Consider the following 10,461-nt stretch of genomic DNA (forward strand, 5'->3'; position numbering starts at 1 on the left):
GTTTGGGCTCATAGTCCATGTGCTTAACCACTAGTGGGTAGGCAGGGAGCCAGTGTTCTTTCTCTCCTGTGACTTTGGTGAAGTCTCTCACCACTCAGTGTTGTCGTGAGCATGCTAGGCAGAGTGCAAGAAAGGAGCAAGAACTCACTAATGGCTAGGCCTTCCCTGTGTCTCTGTAATTGATGGGTTTGGGTTTTTTTTCCTTTCTCTCTCTCTACCTCCTCTCTCTCTTCTTCATCCTCTCTCTCTCACTCTCCCCCTGAGATAAGGTCTTGCTCTGTTGCCAGGGCTGGAATGCAATGGAATGGTGTGATCATGGCTCACTACAGCCTCAATCTCCTGGGCTCAAGGGATCCTCCCACCTCAACCTCCTGAGTAGCTGGAACCACAGGCATGCACCACCTCGCCCGGCTAATTTTTTATTTTTTGTAGAGAGGGGAGTTTCGCCATGTTGCCCAGGCTGTTTTCGAACTCCTGGGCTGAAGTGATCTTCCTCCCTCAGCCTTCCAAGGTGCTGGGATTGCAGACGTCAGCCACCGTACCAGGCCAACGGGCTCGGTTTCTATGGTTTTGTGGGGAGACGGCTGAGGGAAGGTCGGCTTCCGGCGTCGCGCTGCAAACGTCTCGCTGAGGTCATCCTTTACGGCAGGCGTCCGCGTCGCTAGCTAGTCGTTCTGAAGCGGCGGCCAGAGAAGAGTCAAGGGCACGAGCATCGGGTAGGTAGGGGCTGCTTATGTCCGCGCGGCAGCTTAGCTTAAGGACCTTCCTTCCGAGGTCTCTTTAACAGATTTCCTCTTGGCTTGCTGTGTGTCCCCTTCTCCCAGACCTGAACTCAGGGCGTGTTCCCTGCCCTCCCAGGCCGCTTCACCTCCACAGCTAATGGCACCGAAGCCTGGAGATTGCCGCTCTCTCCACTTTCCACATTTGTTTAGGTTTTTGCCGGACTAATGTTTTGGCTTTCTGTTTCTTAACCTAAAGTCTACGATCCTTATCCCAGCTTTCCAGGCTCTGCGTGATTTCGGCCCCGCCGGCCTCCTGAGCTCATTTCATTCTTTTCACCGTCATGCACGCTGCGCTCCATTGTCCCCCAAACATAGCCAGCACTTCCGGCTGTAACTCCGGGCTGTTGCCCAACTGGAACACTCTGCCCACTGATCTTCACTTGGCGAACTCGCAAGCCATGTTAAAGGCATTTTCAAGTCTCCGGGCAGAGTTCGTGCTTCCTCCTTCGAGCTCTTACCCACTCGTGTTCCTTGCAGTGTATTCGCAATTCCGAGTGTGTGTCTCTGGTGCTTACGTTGGAGCTGCTTTCCCCCGCATCTGAGTGCCTGGAACGTAACTACTCAGTAAATGATGACTGAGGGATGGGAAGGAACTTAAGAAGTTAAATTCACCTTTTTGTTGAGATGGAGTTTCGCTCTTGTTGCCCAGGCTGGAGTGCAGAGTGGCGCGATCTCGGCTCACTGCAGCCTCTGCCTCCCGGATTCAAGCGATTCTCCTCCCTGAGACTCCCGAGTAGCTGGGATTACAGGCATGCGCCCCCACGCCCGGCTAATTTTGTATTTTTTTAGTAGAGAGAGGGTTTCGCCATGTTGGTCAGGCTGGTCTTGAACTCGCGGCCTCAGGTGATCCGCCCGCCTCGGCCTCCCAAGGTGCTGGAATTACAGGCGTGAGCCACTGCGCCCAACTAAATTCACCTTTAAATCTACCATGAGTACACATTTATATTGATATTTGTGGGTGTGCGCGCGCTTCCTTTCAGTCATTTTAGGCAGTCAGGGTTTGTTTTTGTGTGTGTGTTTTTACATTTAACATTATTATGTATTTGCATGTAAATTTTTTTCCCTACTGTCTGTAATAGTCTACAAAGTAAGTCTTAACCCATTTCTTTCGCTCTGGTTTTTTTTTTTTTTTGAGACAGGATCTCGCTTTGTTGCCCAGGATGGAGTGCAGTGGCCAGGTCATAGCTCACTGAAGCCTTGAACTCCTGGCCTCAGTCTCCTGCCTCAGCCTTAGGAGTAGCTGGGACTACAGGCGCACATACCACCACAAGTGCCTTTTTTTTTTTTTTTTTTTTTTTTTGAGACAGAGAACCTGACCAAAGGATCCAAATTCTTTTTTTCTTCTTCTTCTTTTTTTTTTTTTTTTTTTTTTGAGACAGAGTCTCGCTCTGTCGCCCAGGCTGGAGTACAATGGCGGATCTTGGCTTATTGCAACCTCTGTCTCCCCAGTTCAAGCAGTTCTCCTGTCTCAGCCTCCCGAATAGTTGGGATTACAGGCATGTGCCAACACGCCCAGCTAATTTTTTTGTATTTTTAGTAGAGACGGGATTTCACCATATTGGCCAGGCTGGTCTTGAACTCCTGACCTCAGGTAATCCACCCGCCTTGGCCTCCCAAAGTTCTGGGATTACAGGCATGAGCCACCGCGCCTGGCCCACAAGTGGCTGATTTAAAAAAAAAATTTAGGCCAGGTGCAGTGGCTCACACCTGTAATCCCAGCACTTTGGGAGGCCAAGGCGGGCGGATCACCTGAGGTCAGGAGTTCAAGACCAGCCTCGCCAACATGCTGAAACCCCATCTCTACTAAAAATACAAAAATTAGCTGGGCGTGGTGGTGCGCACCTGTAGTCCCAGCTACTTGGGAGGCTGAGGCAGGAGAATCGCTTGAACCCTGGAGGAGGAGGTTGCAGTGAGCCAAGATTGCACCATGCGCTGCAGCCTGGGTAACAGACGGAGACTCCATCTCACGTGGTAGGTGAGCCACCGCTCCTGACCGAGAAAGGATTTCTATGCATTGTTCTTTAGTTATAGTTCTCTTTTCCTTGAGTTTTGAAAAAGCGCAAAAACTGCTTATCTGCCATAAACTGGAAGAACCTATTTAATGAAAAAGTTTGGTGAGAAGAAATCAGGAGAATAATATCAAACAGTGTTCTAGAGGGCTACTTAGCATGATTATCTAATTTTTTCTTAGAAATTTCTCAGTTGATTGCCCTCTTGTGGTATTTTATTTACTTATTTTTTTAAATCTTCCATTACAGCCATGCCTTTCTTGGACATCCAGAAAAGGTTCGGCCTTAACATAGATCGATGGTTGACAATCCAGAGTGGTGAACAGCCCTACAAGATGGCTGGTCGATGCCATGCTTTTGAAAAAGAATGGATAGAATGTGCACATGGAATCGGTTATACTCGGGCAGAGAAAGAGTGCAAGATAGAATATGATGATTTCGTAGAGTGTTTGCTTCGGCAGAAAACGGTAAGGAAATGATGGAGGTGGAAGCTGAATTACTTTCTTGTTCCTTTGGGACTCTTTTTTTTTTTTTTTGAGACGAAGTCTCACTCTTGTCCCCTAGGCTGGTGTGTGATGGCGCCACCTCGTCTCACTGTAGCCTCTGCCTCCCAGGTTCAGGCGATTCGCGTACCTCAGCCTCCCGAGTAGCTGGGATTATAGGCACCTGCCACCACGCCTGGCTAATTTTTGTATTTTTAGTAGAAACGGGATTTCACCATGCTGGCCAGGCTGGTCTTGAACTCCAGACCTCAGGTGATCCGCCCCCCTCAGCCTCCCAAAGTAGTGGGATCACAGGCATGAGCCACCGTGCCTGGCCTCCTCTGGGATTACTCTTAAGTGTTTTTAGTGGGTCATTGAGCAGTGGCTTGCCAAATGTGAATTGGCAAAGCTTTTCTGGTGAAATACCTTTCCTACTTTGGTACCATGATGAGGAAATTAAATGCCTTCAGATATGAGGATGGTCCATTGTTCCTCAGCATTCTTTCTCTTCTCCCAAATTTTCCTTAGTATTTTACCCTGCTTTAGCCACCAGGTTAGAAATTGCATGTGTGTGTATACCCATTTTTTCAGTTGGCTGTGAAGCAGAGAATATCAACTAGTTTTGGATGTTGACCCTTGAAAATCTTTGGGTGAAAATATGTTCAAATCCATTGAATCCTCATTGGAAAAGAGGTTTAACCTTGCAAATCCATTACATTCAACATCTTTGGATTCATTCCACTCTGAAGAAGATGGAGGTGTTAATGAGATTGCTGTACATGAGCGTGAACAACGATGCAGTGGAAAAGGGATGTTAACAGCTTAGTGTTCACCTCCTCAAAAGTTGAATGAGTTGGCCAGGCACGGTGGCTCACGCCTGTAATCCCAGGACTTTGGGAGGCTGAGGCGGGTGTATCACGAGGTCAGGAGTTTGAGACCAGCCTGGCCAAGATGGTGAAACCCTGTCTCTACTAAAAATACAAAAATTAGCAGGGCATGGTGGTGGGTGCCTATAGTCCCAGCTGCTCGGGAGGCTGAGGCAGAAGAATTGCTTGAACCCGGGAGGCGGAGGTTGCATGGAGCCGAGATCGTGCCACCGCACTCCAGCCTGGGCGACAGAGCGAGACTCTGCCTCTAAAAAAAAAACCAAAAAAACAAATTTAAAAAAATCCCATGCAGTGGCTCATGCCTGTGATCCCAGCACTTTGGGAGGCCAAGGTGGGCGGATCACCTGAGGTCAGGAGTTCAAGACCAGCCTGGCCAACATGGTGAAACCCCGTCTCTACTAAAAATACAAAAATTACCTAGGCATGGTGACAGGGGCATGTAATCTCAGCTACTCAGGAGGGTGAGGCAAGAGAATCGCCTGAAACTGAGAGGCAGAGGTTCCAGTGAGCTGAGAACACACCACTGCACTCCAGCCTGGGCGACAGAGCGAGACTCCGTCTCAAGAAAAAAAAAAAAAAGATGGCCCGGCACAGTAGCTCACTCCTGTAATCCCAGCACTTTGGGAGGCCGAGGCAGGCGGATCACAAGGTCAGGAGTTCGAGACCAGCCTGACCAACATGGTGAAACCCCGTCTGTACTAAAAATACAAAAAAATTAGCTGGGTGTAGTGGCTGGCGCCTATAGTCCCAGCTACTCGGGAGGCTGAGGCAGGAGGCTGAGGCAGGAGAATGGCATGAACCCGGGAGGCAGAGCTTGCAGTGAGTCGAGATTGTGCCACTGCACTCCAGCCTGGGCGACAGAGCGAGACTCTGTCTCAAGAAAAAAAAAAAAGAAAATAAAAAAAAGATTTTGATAAATTGATACCAACAGGAGGCATTGTAGTAAGGTGGAAAGAACATTGGATTGGGAGTTAGGAGAGTCAGGTTCTGATGCTGGTTCTGCCACCACTCATTTGTTGTTGGTTGATTAATTTTAATTTATGTTTTGAGACAGCGTCTCACTCCCGTCGCCCAGGCTGGAGTGCGGTAGCGTGTTCACAGCTCACTGCAGATTCAACTTGGGTTCAGGTGATTCTTCCACTTCAGCCTCCCAAGTAGCTGGGACTACAGGAGTGCACCACCACGCCCAGCTAATTTTTTGTATTTTAGCAGAGACAAGGTTTCACCATGTTGCCCAGGCTGATCTCGAACTCCTGAGCTCAGGTGATCTGCCTGCCTTGGCCTCCCAAAATGCTGGGATTACAGGTGTGAGACACTGCACCTGGCCCTAATTTTGATTTTATTTATATAAAATAGAAATGGGGTCTTCTTGTGTTGCCCAGGCTGGTCTCAAACTCCTGGGCTCAAGCGATCCCACATTGGCCTCCCAAAGTGCTGGAATTACAGGTGTGAGCCACCACACCCATCCTGTTAGTCGTGTTTTTGAGACAGGGTCTTGTTCTGTCACCCGGGCTGGAGTGCAGTGGCGTGATCATAGCTTACTGCACCCTCAAACTCCTAGGCACAAGTCATCCTCCTGCCTCAGCCTCCCAAGTAGCTAGGACTACAAGTGCATGCCACCATGTGCGGCTTTTTAAATTGTTTATAGAGACAAGGTTTTGCTATGTTTCCTTTGCTGATCTTGAACTCCTGGCCTCAAACGATCCTCTTGCCTGGGCCCCCCAAACTGCTGGGATTACAGAAATGAGCCGCCACGTCCAGCAAACCACCACTAGTTTTGTGACTTTGAGCAAGTCACTTTCTCTTAGTCTTCATTTCCTTATCTGAAACAATTAAAGAATTGCTCTAAGGTCACTTCCTAATCCTGTGAATTTATGAATAGATAAGTTACCATTTTCAGGGTCACCTTAAGTGAACAGATACCTCCCTGTAAGTGAAGAAGCTAGTGAGTCAGAATTAGAATCAAGTCCTATTGTAAGTTCTTAGCATATTATAATGCATGTATTTCTCACAACAATCCTATGAGATGAGTTACTATTAGTTTCCCCATTACACAGTTAAAAATTTAACTTTGGGAGGCTGAGGCGGTGGATTACCTGAGGTGAGGAGTTCAAGACCAGCCTGACCAACATGGTGAAACCCCCTCTCTACTAAAAATACAAAAAATTAGCTGGGTGTGGTAAGGGGGTGCCTGTAATCCCAGCTACTCAGGAGGCTGAGGCAGGAGAATCGCTTGAACCCGAGAGGCGGAGGTTGTAGTGAGTTGAGATTGCGCCACTGCACTCCATCCAGCCTGAGCAACAAGAGTGAAACTCTGTGTCAAAAAAACAAACAAATGAACAAACAAAATTTAAGGCAAAGAAAAGTTAAGGACATTGCTTGAACTTACATAGCTAGTAAATGGTGGAGCTGGGATTTTATCCTGGCAAGGCTGGCTTCAATACCTATGCTTTTATCCAGAGTTACTGCTTTTAGCTCAGAGAAAGATTTGACATATGGTATTGTCATAGTTCAAAACCATGACTAGTCTTGTGTTGGGAGACTCTAAGATAAATGGTAAGAATGTAGTCTTTTAAAATGGTTAATGTTTATTTCAGGGTTTTTTCTACTGAAGTTATATCAACACTACTTCTTTAAGGTTAATGAGACGTTTAACTGAATATACTAATTTTTCGTATCTTTGTGAAAAGTTAGTCATTGGTTAAAAAAATTATGTCAGAAACTAGTCTAGGCACTAGGAATACAGTAAGCAAAACAGCAAAAAAAAAAAATCTCAGAGTCAGTGAGCTTATGCTATAGTGGGAGGAAGAGCAGAAAAATAACAAGTAAAAATACAGGTGATAATAAGTGCTGTGAGGAGAATAAACAGAAGGATAGAAAGTGCTAGGGGCAGGAGCTAGGTGGATGCTACTTTAAATAGTCAGAGAAGATCTCAGCAAAAGAAGACAGACCAGAGACTTAAAGAAAGTGAGCTATGTGGTTATGAGGGAAGAATGTTCCATGCAGAGGAAACAGCAAGTGCAAAGGTCCCTGAGCTGACTGGAGGGAGCTAGGGGAATATTAAGAGATGAAGTCACTGGAGTAGGCCTTGTAAACCATGATAAGGATTCATCTTTTTGTCTCAGTAAGATAGCCATTGCAGGGTTTTGAGCAGAGGAATAATGTGATCAGATTTAGTAAATTTTCTGTGTCACAGAATCCAGGGACCAGTTCATTGTTGTGGCTTTGACACACTTGTGTAACATAGTTTTGATTTGTTGAGAAGCAACCAATGCCCTGAGTAGAAGAGACAGAATTCAAGACTCAGCGGTGACTAGTGGCTGAGTAAGAATCAGGCCTTTACTTCCATATGGGGAAAAGAGAACTCATATTGGCTATTTCTGCTTCATTCATACCCATTGCATAGTCACCAGCAGCAGTGCCACTTCCACATAGAATATGTAAGTGCTTGCCGGGTGCGGTGGCTCACGCCTGTAATCCCAGCACTTTGGGAGGCCGAGGCTGGCGGATCACGAGGTCAGGAGATCGAGACCATCCTGGCTAACATGGTGAAACCCCATCTCTACTAAAAATACAAAAAATTAGCCGGGTGTGGTGGCGGGCGCCTGTAGTCCCAGCGACTCGGGAGGCTGAGGCAGGAGAATGGCGCGAACCCAGGAGGCGGAGGTTGCAGTGAGCTGAGATCGTGCCACTTTGTCACCCAGGCTGGAGTACAGTAGCGCGATCTCAACTCACTGCAACCTCCGCCTCCCGGGTTCAAGCGATTCTCCTGCCTCAGCCTCCTGAGTAGCTGGGACCACAGGCGCGCGCCACCACGCCTGGCTAATTTTTGTATTTTTAGTAGAGACAGAGTTTCACCATATTGGCCAGGCTGGTCTTGAACTCCTGACCTTGTGATTCGCCCGCCTCGGCCTCCCAAAGTGCTGGGATTACAGGCGTGAGCCACCACGGCCCAACTTTTATTTATTTATTTATTGAGACAAAGTCTCACTCTGTCACCCAGGTTGGAGTGCAGCAGTTCAATCTTGGCTCACTGCAACCTCCGCCTCCCAAGTTCAAGCAATTCTCCTGCCTCAGCCTCCCGAGTAGCTGGGATTACAGATGTGCACCACCATCCCTGGCTAATTTTTGTATTTTTAGTAGAAACAAGGTTTTACCTTGTTGGCCAGTCTGGTCTTAAACTCTTGACCTCAGTGATCCACCCGCCTCAGCCTCCCAAAGTGCTGGGATTAAACTTTTGATATTTTAAAAGATTTTAGTATCCACAAATATGCCTCTTAAAGGTTTTTGCAAATATCCATATTGCTATATATATTAAGAACATTTTAGTTGTTAGTTTTCAGAGAGGTTATGTATACTAAAAATTTGTTTGAAAGCTTGGGAAGTGATTTCATGTTAATTCTTTAAAGGCGGACTTCATTTCAGAGGCCCCGTAAGATGAAAGGCCTTTTGTAGTTTAAAAATGAAACCAAAATTGATCTGTTTTTCCAGTTCTCACTTTTTGGCACATATCTCCTCCCTCAGTTTAATTACCATTTTCCTTTGACAGATGAGACGTGCAGGTACCATCAGGAAGCAGCGGGATAAGCTGATAAAGGAAGGAAAGTACACCCCTCCACCTCACCACATTGGCAAGGGGGAGCCTCGGCCCTGAACAGAGCAGCTGCTGATGTCTGGAGGCTGATTTTCCTGTTCTCTGTTCTCCACTGGAAAGGTTGTTTACGACAAACCTCCTTGTCAAAGTGTGTAAAAATAAAGGATTGCTCCATCCTATTTGTTCTATTTTCTCTTGGATCATGACTTTCTTTTCTTTTCTTTTTTTGTTTTTGAGACAGAGTCTTGCTCTGTTGGCCAGGCTAGAGTGCATTGGCACGATCTTGGCTCACTGCAACCACCATCTCCCAGATTCAAGTGGTTCTCCTGCCTCAGCCTCCCAAGTAGCTGGGACTACAGGCATGCACCACCACACCCAGCTAATTTTTGTATTTTTGGTAGAGGTGGGGTTTCACCATGTTGGCTAGGCTGGTCTTGAACTCCTGACCTCATGTGGTCTACCCACATCGGCTTCCCAAAGTGCTGGGATTACAGGCACGAGCCACTGTGCCCAGCCATATCATGCCTTTCTATACTGAGATTATAACCTATTTTTTAAATTTGATTTTAAAAACAGTTGAAACTTTTAGACAGTTCCTAAAAAATTAGCAGCTATGGAATAATAACTAACATTTAATTAACAATGTGTACAAGATACTTTAAATATGTTAACTCATTTAAGAAATGATAGTGTTTTCATTCTGGTTTTTCTTATATATTTTTCTCTCTCTCTTTTTTTTTTTTTTTCAAGATAGAGTCTCATTCAGTCGCCCAGGCTGGAGTGCAGTGGCGTGATCTTGGCTCACTGTAAAGTCCGCCTCCTGGGTTCAAGCGATTCTTCTGCCTCAGCCTACCAAGTAGCTGGGACTATAGGTATGCACCACCACGCCCAGCTAATTTTTGTATTTTTAGTAGAGACGGGGTTTCACTATATTGGCCAGGCTGGTCTCGAACTGACCTTGTGATCTGCCCGCCTCTGCCTCTCAAAGTGCTGGGATTACAGGCTTAAGCCACCACGCCCAGCCTTTTTTTTTTTTTTTTTTTGAGACTGTGTCTTACTCTTTCACCCAGCCTGAGTGCAGTGATGCCATCACTGCTCACTGGAGCCTCAGCCTCCTGGGCTCAGGCTGTCCTTCCTCCTCAGCCTCGCGAGTAGCTGGGACTACAGGTGTGCACCACCACTTCTGCCTGTAACTTATTTTTCATAAAACATAGACTTGAGCTGGGAGAGGGAGGCAGTGGAGATAGGAATTGTGTGTTGACTGTAAGGTCTGTGAAGTCTAAGGCTAAGAAAATGCCAAGTTCAGATAATTTAATTTTGAAGAAGTAATAACATTGTTTTAATTTGCCACTTTTTGAGATGGAGCCTTGCTCTGTCACCCAGGCTGGAGTGCAGTGTCACGATCTCGGCTCACTGCAACCTCCACCTCCCAGGTTCAAGCGATTCTTCTGCCTCAGCCTCCTGAGTAGCTGGGATTACAGGCGCGTGCTGCCACACCTGGCTAATTTTTGTATTTTTAGTAGAAACAGGGTTTCACCATGTTGGTCAGGCTGGTCTCGAACTCCTGATGTCATGATAACACCTCGGCCTCCCAACATGCTGGGATTACAGGCGTTATAACAGTGGCATATTAGCACTAGTTAACTTTTTTTTTTCTTTTTAAAATTTATTTTATTTTGAAATGGAATTTCGCTCTGTTGTGCAGGC

General features: G+C 46.6%; 1 protein-coding gene across 2 annotated transcripts, besides 5 other annotated features; it reads left to right on the forward strand.

The window, feature by feature from the left end:
• Positions 500-749: an enhancer, noted in NCBI's record as "active region_799". NCBI's record gives its function as "activates an Ori minimal core promoter by ATAC-STARR-seq in GM12878 lymphoblastoid cells {active_cell/tissue: GM12878}" and the evidence as "EXISTENCE:reporter gene assay evidence [ECO:0000049][PMID:35858748]".
• Positions 500-1,195: a biological region, named in NCBI's record as "H3K27ac hESC enhancer GRCh37_chr1:39491963-39492549".
• Positions 609-1,195: an enhancer, noted in NCBI's record as "H3K27ac hESC enhancer chr1:39491963-39492549 (GRCh37/hg19 assembly coordinates)". NCBI's record gives its function as "activates a minimal SCP1, AML or CMV promoter by ChIP-STARR-seq in primed H9 embryonic stem cells {active_cell/tissue: H9 hESC(primed)}" and the evidence as "EXISTENCE:reporter gene assay evidence [ECO:0000049][PMID:30033119]".
• On the forward strand, positions 668-8,933 carry NDUFS5 (NADH:ubiquinone oxidoreductase subunit S5). Of its 2 annotated transcripts, none has more exons than NM_004552.3 (3): positions 668-720; positions 3,041-3,258; positions 8,710-8,933. In NM_004552.3, the coding sequence occupies exons 2-3, from the start codon at positions 3,043-3,045 to the stop codon at positions 8,812-8,814; spliced, it is 321 nt and encodes a 106-aa protein (NP_004543.1). In that variant the 5' UTR covers positions 668-720; positions 3,041-3,042; the 3' UTR covers positions 8,815-8,933. The 2 variants fall into 2 exon arrangements, with proteins under 2 accessions (NP_004543.1, NP_001171908.1); NM_001184979.2 differs by having other exon boundaries at positions 668-716.
• Positions 1,196-1,781: an enhancer, noted in NCBI's record as "H3K27ac hESC enhancer chr1:39492550-39493135 (GRCh37/hg19 assembly coordinates)". NCBI's record gives its function as "activates a minimal SCP1, AML or CMV promoter by ChIP-STARR-seq in primed H9 embryonic stem cells {active_cell/tissue: H9 hESC(primed)}" and the evidence as "EXISTENCE:reporter gene assay evidence [ECO:0000049][PMID:30033119]".
• Positions 2,552-2,717: a silencer, noted in NCBI's record as "fragment chr1:39493906-39494071 (GRCh37/hg19 assembly coordinates)". NCBI's record gives its function as "represses an EF-1alpha promoter that drives an FKBP-Casp9 reporter gene in an ReSE screen in phorbol 12-myristate 13-acetate-treated (for megakaryocytic differentiation) K562 erythroleukemia cells {active_cell/tissue: K562(+PMA)}" and the evidence as "EXISTENCE:reporter gene assay evidence [ECO:0000049][PMID:32094911]".

Source organism: Homo sapiens, chromosome 1, assembly GCF_000001405.40.
Source record: "Homo sapiens chromosome 1, GRCh38.p14 Primary Assembly".
Taxonomy (NCBI): domain Eukaryota; kingdom Metazoa; phylum Chordata; class Mammalia; order Primates; family Hominidae; genus Homo; species Homo sapiens.